This window comes from Homo sapiens, chromosome 1 (genome assembly GCF_000001405.40).
Source record: "Homo sapiens chromosome 1, GRCh38.p14 Primary Assembly".
In the NCBI taxonomy this organism is placed as follows: domain Eukaryota; kingdom Metazoa; phylum Chordata; class Mammalia; order Primates; family Hominidae; genus Homo; species Homo sapiens.
Window position 1 is genome coordinate 179,787,617 of NC_000001.11, and position 18,275 is coordinate 179,805,891.

The following is an 18,275-nucleotide window of genomic DNA, read 5'->3' on the forward strand; positions in this document are numbered from 1 at the left end:
AGGTCTAGACACACCGCTCTACAGCTCCCCCAAAGTGCCAGCCTTTCTCCTGTCCAGGAGCAGGGGCGGGACCTGACTCCATGTGTTTTAGGGAACTTCTGTCTGGTGGCAGAATGGAGAAGGGCCTGGATATGGGAGGACTGGAGCTCAGTGAAGAACCCACTGCAGGGCCGAAGTGAGAGGTGGTGGCAGTTGTCCTGGTGGAGATTGGCAGTGCCCAAATCCAGATCACCATGGGAAGCCCCAGGGGCACATTTAACCCCCCAGCCTCCCACCCATAGAGACACCCTGGGTCTGGGTGAAATCTGGGGACCGTTACAAAGCGACCTGGATGTCAACCAGGCTTGGAAACTGCTGGTCCAGGTGCCCTCCAGCTCAGAGATTCTAGGAGACAACAAGTTAATATATGGGCTTTGTAAGCTGTGAAATGCTATGCAAATATGAGTGATGTGTTTTTCAGGATTTTCTCTATAAAGGTAATTTTGTCAACCACCACCTAATCACTTCTCACAATGTGTAATCAGTGGCAGGTTTGACTTCAGTTTCCTTCTGCATCTATTTCCCTGCTCCTCTAGTCTCCAGTCAAGCCAAGAGAATTCTTCTCCAGCCAAGGGAAATCATTCTGAAACTGAATAATCCTCTCTCTTTCCCACCACCCACTCACCTGTTCATAGCTTTGGTAAATCCGAACGATATTTCTCTTGTTTGAAATAAAACTGTTACTCCCAGACTGCATTTGTTAACCATCTGGAGCCCATTTACTTCCTCCTAGGGAAGATTCCTCACCCTGAAGCTCACAGGGAAAGCCTGCTCTGAACAGGACCTGCTCTTCCACTGGCCCTGCTGCTTTCTTTTACATGACAAAGCCTGTGAGAACCGGTATAGATCACTAATGGGCTGAGTCCAGATAAACTCAATGTGAAGTGGAGCTTTCGGGTTTGCGGATCCTAGCCCTGCCTCTTACCAGTGGCATGGGTTTGGACAGTAATTTAAATTTCTGAGCCTCAGTTTTACTGTCTCCAAAGCGGGGAAAATAATATCTATATCCCAGGGATCTTGCAACATTGAATGATGTGATGCATGTTATATATCTGGTATGGCATTATGCAGGAATATAGAAATGCAGGGTTGCAGCTTTGCGGAGGAAAGAGGTCACAAAAAGGGGGCTCAAGAAGTCTGCAAACAAGGCACCCTGGCTGTGACTACCTTCCAGTGCAAGGTCCAACCCTCCAGCCTGCCTCACTCACCAGGTGGGGTGTTTACCTGGCGCAGAGAATTGCCGCCGTCTATGTGCACTGTGGTGCTGTGCCCAGGGCTGAGCCCTTGCTTGCCCACCAGTGTTCCCTTAAACAGTCTCTTCATTTAGTACATGTCAGCCTCCACTCTCCAGCCCATGCTGACATGGAGCAGGCCTCCCAGTGGGCATGTCTGCCACCAGACTCTCTTCTATGAGCCCAAAGATCACTCTGGTCAGCCATTAAAAACACAACTTGAAATAAGTAAAATTTGTGGTTATTTAATCTCAAAATCTTCAGTGCATTCCCAGGGGAGCAGAGAGGAGACTAGATTTTTTTTTCTTTTTTGAGATGGGGTCTCACTCCGTCACCCATGCTGGAGTGCAGTGGTGCTATCTCAGCTCACTGCAACCTCCACCTCCCAGGTTCAAATGATTCTCCTGCCTCAGCCTCCCAAGTATCTGGGATTACAGGCACCTGCCACCACACCCAGCTAATTTTTGCATTTTTAGTAGAGATGGGGTTTCACCTTGTTGGCCAGGTTGGTCTTGAACTCCTGACCTCAGGTGATCTGCCCACCTTGGCCTCCCAAAGTGCCGGGATTACAGGCGTGAGCCACCGCCCCCGGCAGGGATCAGATTCTTATTTTTCCTCCTCTTCTACCACTCTTCCTTCCCCTTCTTTTCCTTATTTTAGAACATCATTGAATCTTGGATCCTATCATCCAACCAGGAGGATGTAGACCTTGAGGTATCTCTTAAAAGAGAAGGGTGGAGAATGTCCTGGGCATGAGCTGCAGTGGTGAAAGACTTAACATTGGTAGGGTGCTATCACATGGAAACTGGTCTGGGAGGAAGGCAAAGTCATTAACTAATCGAGTAATATTACCCAGGATGAGAACACAGGCACTCAAAGGCAATTAAAGCCTTGTCCAGGGTTACACAACTAAAAAAAATGGTACAAACTGAATTTGGAACCCAAGATATTTACCAAAATCCACAAATAAAGCAACCATATTTTGGGTTGTGGGAAATCATGGCAGAAGAGTAGGACTAGGGCTACATTTAGGAGGGCTGAACAGGTGAGGCTGTGTTTTATGTAGTGGGCAATAGCAACCCCCAGAATGTTTTAGAAGAGGGAAAGGACATGACCAAAGAATGGTTTAGGAAAGTGAATACAGCAACATACAGAAAAGATGGAAAGGAGAAGAGATTGGTAGGAAAGGGACTGTTTGAAGTATGACCCTCAACCCAGATGGTAGCAGTAGGTACAGAAAGCAGTGTCAAAGATAATGCCATGGCTCCAAGCCTAGAGACTGGAGGGATACTATTAACAGGAGTGGGAAGTATTAATAACAGCTGACTTCCTTTTTTTTTTTTTTTTTTTTTTTTTGAGCTGCTGTTATGGGCTTGCCACTGCAAAACTAAGAGGTTTTTTGTCAACTTTCTCATTAAGTCTCCTAATGGCCCTAGAATGTATTTACTAGTCTCCCCATATTACAGATTTTGGAGATGGGAAACTGAGGCCCAAAGTGATGAGGTGATTTGCCCAGTTTACACAGCTTATAAGGAGGGGAGCCAGTATTTCAACCCAGGTCTGGCTGACAGTCTCTAGAATTCACACTTTTAACCCAGCACTGAGCAGCCCCTCCAACCCACCTGCAGATACAGGCTGGATAAACGACGAGTTGGTTCGGCAAGTGAGGCAGACCTGGCCTCTATAGCTTTGTCTCCCCTAAGAGATCAAACTCACCCTTCCACTGATCTGGATGGATGGCAGTCAGCACTCACTGAGATTAGGATTTTAGGATTAGGTCAGATCACTCCTGACCTCAGGTGATCTGCCTGTCAACTTTGAAGACACAGTTGAAGATACTCACTCCACAAAAGGTCCACTGTCAAGGTGGGAGAAGGCAGCTCCAGCTCAGACTGGACAGACCTGGGAATATAGTGGCCTTTAGAACATTAGAGAATGAGGACACAGAAGAGACTAAGTAGAAGAAAGTTGTGGGATAAAAGAGGGAAATTCCTCCAAAACCCGGAATATTCTTAAGTAAGGGATGATGGATAGGCAGCCAACCAGGGAGAAAAGAACAGAACACGAAAGGAAACAAACTAGAGCTCCCATCAGTTATTTGGCCTGCATTTCTCCAGCAATAGTCCCTTTTAGGCCCACTGTACCCAAAGTCTAACAGTCCAGCAAAGCTCCCCTGAAGCCCAGCTCAATCATCCAGCCTAGGTGTCTTTGTCCCAGACAGAGGCTGTTAGTCTTAATCTCAGATAATATATTATCTCAAGATAATATAAACGTCCAAGAGAAAGGAAAGGCCCAAGGAACCTAACGTTATGAGACTTCAGTGTCGGCAGTAACACTGCCGACTGGGTCTAAGGACCCAGGCACGAGAGGCCCCTATGCTGGCCCTCCTCAGGCCGTACCACATCCTCCATGGAGAGCAAGCCTGTGCCCTCCCTTCTAGACCATATCCTTGCGCTGTCCAAACAACCCAAAGCTGCTTCCCGGGCCCATGCAGGCCTCTTCCCCCTGCTCTCTCCTTCCAAGGGTATGCATACCCTGTGCCTGCAGCATGGCCAGGAGGCAGTTCTTTGGGGACAGGGGATGGAACCTGTACAATTAGAGCTGGGGTGTTCACACTGCATGTACATGAGGCTCCTAAGGGGTACAGTCTAGGGTGGAAAAAGAAGGGGAATAGGCTGCAGGCTGGCAACTAAGCCAGCTCTTCCCATGCCGCCACATTTCAGCATGGAGCTGATCTTCCAGGTGTTCGAGGATGGAACGCGTTTTCATTTAACAGTTGCTAACTGGATTTTTAACTTTTAAATATTTAGACATATCATCTGTGGCCTCCATTTATATTTTTGCCCTCACCCCTACAAATGTTAGGATAGCAAGATCTTGAGTTGAAGGAACCGTAAAAGTCATTCATTCCAACCACCTAGCCAAGCTTGCCGTCCCACCAAAAGCTTAATCACTTCCAATTATGATTGGATGCTGGTCGAACTGCCTCCTGAAGTACTAGCTCATTCGTCTCTGCAGTTTTCTCACTGCTAGCAGCGGTCCTTTATTCCGATGTCTTCCTGTTCCAGAAACAGCATTTAGTAGTATTAAGTTGAAGGCTCACTCTGCCAGGCAATGGAGTATAGAGATGAATGAACTTTGACTCATGGAGACCAGGCTCCAAATCCTGACTGCCACTTACTAGATGTGTGACCTTGAGCAAGTTTCTCAATCTCTCTGATCTTCAGTTTCTTCATCTGTAAAATGGAAATAATAATTCCCCAGCTCTGTTGCCTCAGCTAGAGTGCAGTGGCAAGATCATGGATCACTGCAGCCTCAGACTTCTGGGCTCAAGCAATCCTCCTGCCTCAGCCTCCTGAGTAGCTGGGACTACAGACACATGCCACCATATCTGATTGTGTGTGTGTGTGTGTGTGTGTGTGTGTGTGTGTGTGTGTGTGGAGATTGGGTCTCTTTATGTTGACCAGGCTGATCTCAAACTCCTGTGCTCAACAAATCCACCCCCGCTTAGCCTCCCAAAGTGGTGGGATTATAGGCATGAACCACTGCTCCTGGACTTTGGTCTCCATATCTTAAACAGAAGGCCCAGTCTCAGTGACGAGGGATGTAATTAGTGCCAATAAATAGTGACTTGATTATTAATGTTACCTGTTTACGTTCACACTTGTTCTCATGGCAGAAAGGCTGGAGTTTTACATAGGAAGACCTGAGAACTAGTGTCTGCGCCTCCACTTACTAGTTGTGTTACCTTAGACAAATCACCTCTTCTCTGTGTGCCTCCATTAGTTACCTATCAATAAAATGGAGCTGATGATCTCCATCACCTCACAGAGCTCATACTAAAACACCCCTACCAAAAAGTCATTTCTTCATTCATTCATTCTGTAAACATGCACGAAAGGGCTACTTTGTATTTGGTGCTGAGATAGAAAAGTGTGCCCAGCTCCTGCACTCAAGGGACCCATACTCTAGTGGATGAGACAGATAATAAAATATATATATATATATAATAAAATACAGTGTGACAGGAGCTGGCATCCTGAAAGAGGGGACAGCTGGTTTTGCCCCAGAAAGGGTGCATAAAGAAAGTAGCATCTGAGAGGGATTAGTGGGGAAGAGAATATCATGAAAAAAAAAAGGCATGGAATCATGTAGTTTTGTGGAACAGAGATACAAAATAAAATGAATCTTTCCTTCAAGTGACAGGTCTTTAGATATCTGACAAAGATATCATAGCCTATCCCCCATCCTTTCTCTGACAACTTCTCTTAGGCAGGCTCAACATCCCCAGTTTCTTCAACCATTGCTCACCTGCATGGCTGTGAGTGTTCCCACGCCCTCTCTGGATACGGTCCCTTCTCTGTGTGTCCCAGTGGCAGGCCATACTCATATGTCTACATGTCACATATGTCACCACAACCAGTTCTTTAGCCAGAGCATAATTAAAACCTTATTTGAAAGCAGGTTATACTTTCCAAAATTCTAAGAGTCTATGAGTTTTACTGCAAATCAGAAGGCTCATCATCTATCTACCTAGTGACATATGGGCTTGTCTCATGGGAAAAGTATGTGCGTGGTGAAAGCATGAAGCACAGAAATGAGAAAAGCGTACGTGCTCATGCAGGGATTCCATGGACCGCTGGTTTAGTGCTATTAGGGGGCAGTGAAACCCCAGCTCTAGAGGGTGTCTTATTAAAGCTCAAGGGATCCTGGTGAGATAGGTCTGGAACTCATATTTCAGGTGTAATGTCATAGCTCCCTTTGGTTCAAAAGTCTTAGAATTGGCTTTGATAGAACTGGGTGCTTTTCCATGATTGTGAATTAAAAGAAAAAGCAAAATGAACAGAAGACAAGTTCTCTTGAAAGAAAGCAACAGCCCTGCCACAGGATCTGGAGGCCCCGTTGCTGTCCTCAGTGATGCAGTGGGCATTTGGCCAGGTTGCAGAGTGCCACCACATGCTGGGTGGCTGTTGCCGGCCCAGGGCTCTCTGACTTACAGGTATTCTCCCTCACTGTTGAGTATGGGACATTATTTGTGTTATTGCTGTCCCCTTAAAGTCTCATCTGTGAGTGAAGAGGGCCTGGTCCTTGAAAGACAGCTGGAGAAGACATCAGCACCAGTCCCTTACAGCTTCATTCACAGTGGCCACAGCCAGCATCTTCCAAGGTAGCAGGAGGACACTCCAGGCCAGGACTTGCACAGGGCAGCGGCTGCCCTTACTCTCACACTCTTGGCCACCTTGTGCCTCTGCTCAGCCTAATGGCAGCACCATAGCTGCCTCCCTAGCCCATCAATTCAGGGGCCTGTCTTTGCTGCACAGTTTAAGGAGTTAAAGGGGAGAAGACAACTGGTTCTTACCACCAAAAAATTAGAGCATTGGGCAGCAGTTCTCACACTTCAGTGTCCAAAGAAATACTTGAAATGAGTGTGACTGTCCTGGTTTATGCCAGTTGTCCCAGCATAACTATTAATAGTACCCCCATTCACTCAAGTGTCCCAGTTAGGCAATAAATTGAATAATCACCCTACTTAAAATGCACATTACCAGGATGCACCCACAGGTGTCTTGGGATTCCCTGGAATCTGGATTTTAAACTAGCATCCTGGCATCTCTGTGGCATGCGGTGGATAGACACACTTTGAGAAATTCTGACAATAACATGAAACTAGGCAAACCAAAAATCATTATAACAACACTAATTTTAAAAAGACAGTAATCCTCTGCTTTTGTGAGGGCTTATGTGGTGCTTTTTAATGTCTGGCTTTGATTTAACAAATGTGAGTATGCACTATGTTTGGAGTCCTTTGCTAGGTGCTCTGGGAGATACAGAGATAAAGAAGCTGGGTCCCTGCATCAGAGGAGTTTACATCTGGCAAGGCGCTCAGACAGATATTACATGGGAGTGAACCCTGGGTCATGAGGAAATGCTGAAGGGGAGGCATTTATGCAATCGTGTAACAGTGCAAGGGAGGAAGGGCATGAAGATAAGGAAATGGGAATTCAAAGAGGCTGAGTGACTTATCCAAAGTCCCACTGAGCCATGAATCTAATCTCGGCCTCCCAACTCCAAGGCCTGGGCTCCTTCCCACATACTCACCACAGAACTCTAACCACCACCACCTGCCAGCAGCAACCCCAGAGAGAAATATGCACACGACAAACTCTTGGCAAGGTGGTAAGAAGGGGGATGGGAGAGGGCTATCAGAGTGACTAGAATTACTGAAAAGCAAGGATTAATCTAAAGAGGATTCCTAAAGAGGATAAAAAGCAATTTATGACACATCATTATAAAACAGCCGGGCATGATGGCTCATGCCTATAACCCCAGCTATTCAGGAGGCTGAGGCAAAGTGGAGGTATCTTTCTGATTCTGGTACATACTATCAAATCGCCCTCAAATCACCTCTGCCAGTTTACACTCATCTGTGGCTTGAATGTGTCCCCCAAAAGTTCATGTGCTGGAAATTTAATTGCCGTTGTAACGGTTTTAAGAGGTAGGGTCTTTAAGAGGCCTTTAGGCCATGAGGGCTGTGCCTTTGTAAAGGGATTCATATTGTTATTGTGGGAATGGGCTCCTGATAAAAGGATAAATTGGCCTGCATTTTCACTTGCTCTCCCACACTCCCTTGCTCACTCACCTTCTGCCATCGGATGACCCCCACCAGATGCTGGTGCCATGCTCTTGGACTCCCCCGTCTTCAGAACCATGAGCGAAATAAGCTTCTGTTCTACATAAATGACGTAGTCTCTTATATGCTGTTATAACAGCAGAAAATAGGCTAAGACACAGTCCCAGCAACAGTGCTAGTGCTATGGCCTTGACCACAGGCTGAATCGGGCTCAATAGCAGCTGGTTCCAGAGAGGCCACCAAATAGAAACATTCTGAAGAGTGTTTATCATTCGTGTTTCCCACCAAATCACTATCTCCTTTTGTCTTTTTCTAACCCCTCTCCCCAAGTTTGGCTTGGTTTTATGGAAATGAGTTCCTGCGTTGGCCATTCATAACTGATTTACATTTTATTATTCTTCCTTTCTCTGCCTATAGATCCTATGACAGGAGTCTTTCTCTATTATTATTATTATTATTATTTTACAACTGTGTCTCCTTAGCCATTCCCTTCCTCTGTTACTTCCTTTCTATTCATCATCTTATTCTGTTGCCCTTGACTTTTCTGCAGTCACAGAACTCCCTGATATCTGACGAAAGCTATGTACCCCTTCTCCAGAGAAACATTCAATAATACACACACACACACACACACACACACACACAAACTTAAGGTTTGGGATGTACATCAATGCTAATCTATCTATTTCTTCTCAACTTTACCTAAATTGGCGTATTTCTATCTCTGAGAGTTACTGATACTTCCAACTGAATTCCTACTTTCTTTGGACAAGTCATTCTCATTTATAATTACAACTCACAAAAGAAAAAAAAAGTTACCCTGTGGGCTCCATCTCTTCAAGGTGTCACATTTAAAGAGACTCAAATCTGATGTCACATATTTTGAAAGCGATTAAAATGTTTATTGAAGATTTGGGGAAAATTCCAAATGGAGGAATTTCATTCATAACATATTGTTAAAACTTTAAAAAATCTTTTTCCCCATCTCCACCTCTCCCTCTATCTTGCACAGATGGCAGCTGCCCCCAAAGTCTCCTCCTCCTGCAGGTTCTCCAGGATGCTTCTCACACGCCTGTCATGCTGGCTCTTTGATATCTCCCCCTCTTCTCTCATTGTCTAAGTACATCCAGGTTGGCTACTCTGACCTTTCTAACATATAAACCCAAACAGCATGGTACCTCCCAACTTACCTTTTACCCCAAGTCTGCACAGCCCACAAGATGAGCTGGTGGACACCGTTTAGCAGAAAGCAGAAGAAGGGAAAGGCTGTAGACACTGTATCTTAACCTACTGTGTTTTTCTGTTACATAGAAGACTTGAGAAGTTGCCCTCTTGCTAACATTCCTAAACTGTTCTCTAGGACAGCAGGCTTACCTGGATCATCCATTCTGGAGTCTTCCCCCATGGGTTAGCCACCACATGCAGTTCTCACCCCTTTAGCTCACAGGCCTGTGTATGACACGGGGGCTCCTGCCCACTTTCACCTCCACTTCTGGGGAAGAGTGAGAAGCTGCAGTTTAGAATCAGCACATCCTGCCTCACCCCAGCTACAGGGTGCAAAGTGATAATGATTCAGCTCTCAGAGCCGTCGCAGGACTGCCCCCTGCAGAGAAGTCAGAGTGTGTTTCTCAGATAGAAATAAGATTTGCCAGGTGCGACGGCTCACACCTGTGGTCCCAGCACTGTGGGAGGCCGAGGCGGGCAGCTCACTTGAAGTCAGGAGTTCGAGACCAGCCTGGCCAACATGGTGAAACCTCGTCTCTACTAAAAATACAAAAAATTAGCTGAGCATGGTGGCACATGCTTGTAATCCCAGCTACTTGGGAGGCTGAGGCAGGAGAATCGCTTGAACCTGGGAGGCAGAGGTTGCAGTGAGCCAAGATCACGCCACTGCACTCACGCCAGCCCAGGCAACAAGAGAAAAACTCTGTCTCAAAAAAAAGGGAAATAAGACTTGTCAAGACAGGCGGCATAAGTTCAAGACCTCTATTGTGCAGGCTGGGGACTACAGTTCCCAGCAATATATTATATACTTGAAAATTGCCAAGAGAGTACATTTTAAGTGTTCTTACCTTAAAAAACAAAGTATGTGAGGTCATGCATATAACTAGCTTGATTTAGCCATTCTACAATGTGTACCTATATTAAAATGTCATGTTTTACATCATCTTTATCTATATATATATAATTTTTATCTGTGAATTAAAAAAATCTAAGCAGAGGTTGCTGTTTCCTTAGTTTTGCTCTCTCAGAATACTGATTCTAATAGTCAACAAGGCCAACTTCTAGAAGGTTTACTTGGACCTTCACAAAGACACCCAAAGAATGAGTTGAGAATTACTAAACCCCTATGTGGAATAGGAACCATATGTGTTGATGTGCGGTTGACTTGAGCATGTGTGTGTATAACTATTAAGAATATAAGGCATGGCCGGGCGCAGTGGCTCACACCTGTAATCTCAGCACTTTGGGAGACCGAGGCAGGTAGATTGTCTGAGCTCAGGAGTTTGAAACCAGCCTGGCTAACATGGCGAAACTCCGTCTCTACTAAAAATACAAAAACTAGCCAGGCATGGTGGCAGGTACCTGTAATCCCAGCTACTCGGGTGGCTGATACACAAGAAACGCTTGAGCCTGGGAAGTGGAGGTTGCAGTGAGCTGAGATCACGCCACTGTACTCCAGCCTGGGCCAGACTCCATCTCAAAAAAAAAAGAATATAAGGCATGTGTTTAGATGTGAATGTTCCATTCCAGCTCTCTAAGTGAGGGTGGAAGTTCCCATCCGTGTGGCTGAGGGCATTGTTTTATTCTGATCCAGTGGGATCCTTCCTTTGCAGGCTCCACTGTGTCTCACACGGGGCTTGCCCCGTGGGGTTCCCCTGGTGTCTCCTCTTGTTTCAGGAGCTGCCTCTGGATGGCCCCTCCAGTGGCTTCAGTGCAGCCCTGCCACCACGCGCATACTCAGCAGGCCTACTGCCGCTTTCACCTTATCACCTGCCCCTGGGCTTTTCACAGTCCTCCTCGGGGCACTTTTGCCCATCTTAGAATATTTGTCTGATGTGATTGAGGATTCTGGATTTACCCTGACATGCTTTTTAAGGTCTCCTACCCCAGAAGCTGCCTTGTCCCACTCTAGACAAGCCTTAGTCTGGCCCAGTCAGATCCGACTGGCGGGATAAATAGGCCAGGCCCTCTGGGATGGAGGAAAGGAGAGGAGAGCAGCTCAAAAATGTTCCCCAAGCCTCCCTGCACGATGTGGGTGGACACAGCTTCCAAATCTCCCTGTTGCACTTGTGTATATCCTTCTGTGAGATTCATCTTGGACCTGGTCTAAAGTTTCTTTGGTATAATTTAATCAACCTAGTTCAATCCTGCCCCTCTTGGAAACCCCTTTGCAAGCCTCCCGCTTCCTGCCACCCTGAGTGTGAGGACTCTGGGCTCCATGGCCAGTCTTTACAGCTAGCTCCCTCTGGCCCTCTTGTCAGCCTAATGCAATGACCCTCCTTATCTCCATCTGCCTCAGAAATCAAGCTCTCTGTCCCTTCAGTGGCCTGTGTTCTTACTGGATTTCTTCCAGTCTGCTGGAAGAAAGTGAAACAAGTGAAACAAGTGTTTCACTGCTGAAAGAAGTGAAACAAGCCCTATAGATGCTTCTGCCTTTCCTAGCAAGTCTGTTTAGCAGGCACTGAGCTGCAGGCCTGCTGCATAGGGAATCTCAGAACACCCTCTAAACAATCAAGGACAGATAGGGAGAAATCCAAGCCATAAAGTGCAACACAACAGACTTGTGAAATGTGAAGCCCTATCCCATGACACTGGGCTATGCCATGGTGTCCTCATGCCTCCTGTGAATGGCCAACAATTCAGGCTGCTTTGGTAGGCCAGGAAAGAGCACTGACTCTGGGGTTAGAAGAGCCAGGGTGGCATGGAGATGGGCCGCTCGGCACGTTCCGTGCATAGCAAGAACGACTCTGGTCATGGAAGAAGAGTGGCAGCAGGCTGTCCCGGAAATAGTCATGTGACTGTGGCCAAATCACTTGGCCTTCCTAAACTTAATATTTTCTGTAAAGTAAGAGAAATCAAAATCTGCCATGCCTAGGAGACAAACAAGATGAAGCATAGGAAAACTCTCTAAACTGTTAATGAACATTGTTAGGAAAGGCAGAAACAAACAAAACCAAGTCCAATGTGAACCAAACCCTTAACAGGTTTACTGGCCTCAGCACTGGCCTCTCTGAAGCAGAGCAGACAGACCTGTGATCAGAACTTCAGGAGCTCCAGAGACTAGCATTGTCTGTATAAAATTGCCCACACTCGTGTAAAATGACACATAACTAAGTCCCAATTGTGTCATATGGACTATAGGCAAAACTGAGGTTCTCAGGAAGAGAGGCCTGGAAGGATCAGAAAAGTCTGGGAGCTGGGGCAGGTGGAGCTTGAGGTGCTGTGTGACACTCTGCAGCAGAGACATGTGGACAGTGTGGGGGATGGTGGCAAGGAAGACTTCCAATAAACATGGCATGCTCTATACACTAGTTCCTGCATTCGACAGGTATGTATTGAGCATCTACTATGTTCTAGGGCTAAAGATTCACTGGTGAGTAAGGCAGACATGAAACAGTGTGCTGTGGGGCTTTAGACCAAAGTCACAGCCCCTCCCCAGCCCAAGGGGCCCACAGCCAGGTTCTCAGGCTCTGCCAGTGCAGGGGTTCCGACACACCTGTGCTTACTCTTCTTCCATTATCAGCACAGTTTTTGCTGAAAAAAACATGCAGAGCAGCCTGTTTTGTGTCACCCGAATCAGGGAAGGGGTACGCTCAGCCTTGCCCTTGACAGGCATCCAGGATGTAGGCAGCACCTCTGAGACAGCCCTTGGCTGGGAGGAGCAGAGCACCTCTGTTTATCTGCAGCAAATATTTATTTGTAACCCCAAGCACTGAACAAGCCTGATGGATATGCCTACTCTGGGGTGTCTGTGCACTCCAAGCCATGTTAGACCATGGTGGTCTGACAGAGACTGCAGAGTCACCCCCAGGCCTTCCACAGGTGGACTGGACACTGGGGGTCCTGAAACCAGAGGACAGGCCATGTTTTCTCTCCGCGTCCCCTCCTGTGAGCTCCTTGAGGGGACTCTGCCTCTCATCTTGTGTCCCTGGTGCTGGGCTCCATGCCAGGCATTTTCCTTAGCGCTCAGTAAGTAGTAGATGAAGGATAAATGAGGGGAATAACAGAGTTTCCACAAGGATGCTGAGACACAAAGGCCCAGCCAGACAAGGTCCAGTCAAGGTCATGATCAGGAGCCTGAGGTTCATGTTCTGTTCTGAGCAGCCCATCAAGGATGGAACGGAAGAGAAGAGGAATAACAAACTCATTTTCACATGCATTAGCTCAGGCATAACTCAAATATGAGCTGGGGTCACACGTTCTGCAGGATCTACATAGGACTTGCTCAAGCCCCCATTATAGGGCTCAGCGGAAACCCAAACTCTGTTCTGAGGACTGCTGTTCTCATGGTCACCCCTGGCTCCAAACTCCTCCCTCCACTGAATTCTTCTTGCTGTGAGTGTCTTCTGTATACTATGGATATGCACCCAGATAGGCACATCTGGATGTATATTGGATTGCCACAGAGAAGAAAAATATCACTCACATTGAGGAGACACCAACACAAACACTTGGAATTAAATAAGACACCTCCCAATTCCTGGAAGCCTTGTGCAGTGCCTGACTGCTGGGATTTTTAACTGGCAGGGAGACCCAGTGGAACCCCTGAGCCTCAGCTGGTTTTCAGGGCTCATCTCTCTTCCTCACCCCATCGTCCCTGATCTGACCACCACCCCATACCCACACAGCTCTCCAAGCCCCACTCCCAAACCTCAGCACAGCCAGACTCACCCAGGGATGAGTGAGCATGGAGACGTCTCTCCTGTGAGCAGCTCAGAGGGCTAACTGCAGGGACCCTGAGGCTCTTGGAACAACATCAGCCCTCTTTAGAAGGCAGTGTGATTTTAAAGATCACCCTCCCCCCATTTTCCCAGGTAATCCTCACCCTGTAGAGAAAGGTGTATTATTTATCTCCGTTTTGCAGATGAGCCTCAAGGAGATCATTAATTGTCCAAAGTCACCTAGGTAATAAGTGCAGAAAATAGGGTTTAAACTCAAGTCTTGGAACTCCTGGCCTAGTGCTTTTTCCACTGTGCACAACAGAGCACAGCAGGATGGAAGGCTCTGTGTGGGGACAGCACTCTGTGCAAAGCAACTTCCCCCTTAGACCTGGTCATTCCAGCATCCAGAATGTGCAGATACCAGGCAGGCGGCCGGAGTGGAGCTTAACAAAGACGCGTGATTCCAAGTCTGTGCCCCCAAATGGTCTAAACTGTAAAGGAGAAAGCAAAATATACCCACAGGATACCTGTGTATCAATAAATGCCAATACCAGAGGACAAATAGGCCTTAGGAAGGCCAAACAAAAATGTGCAGCATTTAGTCAATCCTGGAAGGCTCCCTGGGGGAAGTGAAAGCCTCCTTTCTTTTCTCTTTTTGTTTGACTTGGACTTCAGATGCAGAAGACTAAGTTAACTATATTCTTCAGATCATAGCACAGTATCATGATCATTGGTCTGTGCAAGATCTGTCACATCTTATTGATGTTTATTCTCACTCTCACTTTCATTTACCTTCTTCCATAGGCAGCCATAATGTGTATTCATTTTTTGGTATGTGTTCTTGAACATGTGGATTGTGGATCTGTGTGCTTGTAGTTTAAATGCATGTGAGCAGAATTCTTATGCCTCTCATGCTTGGTTGTTTTGTTTTGTTTCGCTGTTTCTCTTAGCACTGTGCTAAGCTTTCTCCTTGTTGCTGTGTGTTGCAGTGCCACATCTGGTCCTCTGCTTTCAGCAGGTGCATATCCTCCGTGATAGCATCTACCTGAGTTTACGGGTCCACTCCTCAGTGATGATCACTGAGGTTGCCTCCAAGTCCCCGCCATCATAAACAGCCCAGCAACGGTAACAAACATCTTCACATGTGACACCTTATGGCTGTGTTAAGAAATTTCAGGGACATCAAACCAGGAGCAGAATTGCTGTTTCATGGGCCATGTGTGTACTTGCTATGACTAAGTGGTACCAGGTCACTCCCTCAGTGGCTGCCCCAGCTACACCCACCACCAGTGCTCCTGTATACCCACATCTGCACCAATGCTTGGCATTATCCTGCTCCTGACTTTTGCCAATCCAAAGGTAAAAAGTGATAGCTCATTGTGGCTTCAGCTTGTATTTCTTGAATTAATAATGAGTTGGTGCATCTCTTTTTTGTGAGCCTTTAGGGTAAACCACCTGCCATTGCCTACTGTTATATTGGGGTTCTTGGGGGTCTTTTCTTGATGATTTGCAAGAGTCTTGTATCTCCTAGAGAGACCCCTTCTCAAACAGTGCACATCTCTTTGCTGCTGTAGTTACCCATCTAGGGTAAGAGAACCCATGTAGTCACCAGTTCTTCAAATCCTCATCCTGGGGGTCAGGACTTTGTAATGGGCATATATACAATCAAAGTAAAGGGAACCCCTTCCCCATTTCCTTCTTCCAGCCTTGCCTGAGGATTGCCGTCCAGGAAGACAGGTAACAGGGAAAAAAACTTCTTCTCTGGGACTGCTAACCTGCTGTGTCAATTTCATAAGTTAATAAATGATTAGAGAAGGCTTAATTGCATCAGAGAAATTGAGATCAGCTGGTGCTTAGGCCCCACTCAATTAACTTGTGCTCCTAAGGGGGCTGAGCAAGGAGCAGGGGGCAGTCGATGGTTAATTACATGTGCTGGTGCCAGCCGCAGCTGGCGTTTCCTGCCAGCATTCATCCAGGCAGTGAGGCGAGGTGACCCTGTTTCAGTGAGGCTGAAGTCACTGAGAACAGGGAACCTTCAGATACAGCAGAGACCCCTGGTATCGTGGGGAGTGAGAGACCCATTTCCCAGCACATTCTATCAGGGTGGCTTTTAGTGCCCAACTCCAGCCTCTACTAGACAAATGGCCTTTAAGGCCCCCATTTTTTTTTTATTTTTTATTTTAAGACAGAGTTTTGCTCTTGTTGCCCAGGCTGGAGTGCAATGGCGCCATCTCAGCTCACTGCAACCTCCACCTCCCGGGTTCAAGCAATTCTCCTGCCTCAGCCTCCTGAGTAGCTGGGATTACAGGCACGTGCTACCACGCCCGGCTAATTTTTGTGTTTTTAATAGAGACAGGATTTCACCATCTTGACCAGGCTGGTCTCAAACTCCTGACCTCATGATCCACCCGCCTCGGCCTCCCAAAGTGTTAGGATTACAGGCATGAGCCACCGCACCCAGCCAGGCCCCCCATTCTGACCACTTTATTGGCTCCATCCCCACCCAGGCTAATGCCACATGCCTTTGGTTCTTCTTAGGCTTCCCCCTCCTCCTGCCCCCTGGCCTGCTTGCCTCCAGGCCAGGCGGCAGGAGGAGGGGGAAGCCTAAGAAGAACCCAGAGCCACTCTTGTCTTGTCATGGGCACCAGATGATGCCACAGGCTCTGCAAGATCACTCCCCTCCCCTGCTGCCTCCAGATTGAAATTCTCCCAGAGAAGTTTCTTCTTGCATCATTTTCCAAAGGGCCAGATGGTAAGGCTCACATCTGCTAAGAATATAGATTCCTGGGCCCCACCCTGTAGATGCTGCTTCAGTAACTCTGGAGTCTCCATTTTTTAATACATGGCTCAGGTAATTGTTAACCTCAAGCCAGTTTGAGAAACCCTACTTCAGGGGACACCCTGGCTCCTGATGAAATAAATGCATATCTTCTGGAAGGAGAGACAATATCAAATGGAAGGGCTCTGTCCTGGGACCTCTACAATGCCATCTCTGCCTTGCTGTGTGTGTTAAACAAGTCATTTGTCCTGTTTGAACTTGGTTTCATCACCTGGAAAATGAAGATATTGTAAATCATTCTATCGTAAAGACACATGCACACATGTGCTCACTGCAGCACTGTTTACAATAGCAAAGACATGGAATCAACCTAAATGCTCATCAGTGACAGACTGGATAAAGAAAATGTGGTACATATACACCATGGAATACTATGCAGCCATAAAGAAGAACAAGATCTTGTCTTTTGCGGGAACATGGATGGAGCTGGAGGCCATTATTCTTAGCAAACTCACACAGGCACAGAAAGCCAAAGACCACATGTTCTCACATATAAGTGGGAGCTAAATGATGAGAACCCATGAACACAGAGAGGGAATAATGCATACTGGGGCCTAATTAAGGGTGGAGGGTGAGAGGAGGGAGGGGACAGAAAAAAATAACTATTGGGCACTAGGCTTAATACCTGGGTGATGAAATAATCTGCACAACAAACCCCCATGACATGAGTTGACCTGTGTGACAAACCTGCACTTGTATCCCCAAACCTAAAATAAAAGTTTTTTAAAAAGACACAGGAGTCCTTACATTTCCATGGATCATTTTTCTGTAAGTAACAAGCACTTTGTGTGATTTATGCTCAAAAAGCAACTTTAATTTTTTTTCTTCAAATGTCCCTTTACTTTAAAATGTATTCAGTGGGAGAAATCTTCCCCTGCCCCTAGAAAAAAAACTTGGCCCAATCCCATTGCTTTTTCATCCAGTCTTCGGTGATAGCCTTATAGTTACTGTAAGTTATAGATACAGTCCACTCAGACATTAGAATGCATCATAGGCCGGGCATGCTGGCTCACGCCTGTAATCCTAGTACTTTGGGAGGCTGAGGCAGGTGGGTCACCTGAGGTCAGGAGTTTGAGACCAGCCTGGACAACATGGTGAAACCCCATTTCTACTAAAAATACAAAAATTAGCCGGGGGTGGTGGCGGGCGCCTATAATCTGAGCTACTTGAGAGGCTGAGGCATCCTGCCTTAAAGCCAGCATTAATCGCTTTAACCTGGTGGGGCGGAGGTTGCAGTGAGCCGAGATTGTGCCACTTCACTCCAGCCTGCGCAACAGAGCAAAACTCCCAAAACTCCGTCTCAAAAAAAAAAAAAGGAATGCATAATAATCATGAGTAATGAAACGCTCTTACTCTGACCGCATTGTTTTTCTCCTTTCTTCCAGTTTCTCTCTGCTCAAGCTGGAAGCACCTGAGGTGGGCCCCCACACGTCCCTCTGCTGTCTACACCGCCCTGTTCTCTCTTCCCTACCACCCGCCCAGGAGCTGCTGTTTTACCACTGGCCGGGATCGAAATTCGGGGTTCTTACTGGTTAGAGAGCTTAGAGAAACTTAAAACTGGCTCCTGCTTTTGGAAATGTTTTTGTGGGCTCTCCTGGGGTTCCCTGCTGGGCTGGACCCCTCTCTTCCGAAGTTCCCTTCACCCACTC

The 18,275-nt window shown here is 46.8% G+C and overlaps 1 protein-coding gene and 1 non-coding gene across 22 annotated transcripts in view, besides 1 other annotated feature; both read left to right on the forward strand.

Moving 5' to 3' along the window:
• The window catches only part of FAM163A (family with sequence similarity 163 member A), an 88,423-nt gene that overhangs the window by 59,841 nt on the left and 10,307 nt on the right, over positions 1 to 18,275 (forward strand). For 5 of the 21 annotated variants that reach the window (NM_001393416.1, NM_001393423.1, NM_001393421.1 and 2 more), the window contains exon 2: positions 18,012 to 18,157. The exons of 13 other annotated variants lie outside the window; for them this stretch is intronic. The gene's annotated coding sequence lies outside the window, so the exon portion shown is untranslated. The remainder of the gene's footprint in view (positions 1 to 18,011; positions 18,158 to 18,275) is intronic. 3 more of the 21 variants (NR_138088.2, NM_001329716.2, NM_001393417.1) reach the window with 1 other exon arrangement.
• Positions 674 to 1,221: an enhancer, noted in NCBI's record as "OCT4-NANOG-H3K27ac-H3K4me1 hESC enhancer chr1:179757425-179757972 (GRCh37/hg19 assembly coordinates)". NCBI's record gives its function as "activates a minimal SCP1, AML or CMV promoter by ChIP-STARR-seq in naive H9 embryonic stem cells {active_cell/tissue: H9 hESC(naive)}" and the evidence as "EXISTENCE:reporter gene assay evidence [ECO:0000049][PMID:30033119]".
• MIR12116 (microRNA 12116) lies at positions 16,308 to 16,409 on the forward strand. Its single transcript, NR_162130.1, has one exon. It is a non-coding gene; the product is annotated as a microRNA 12116 (primary transcript).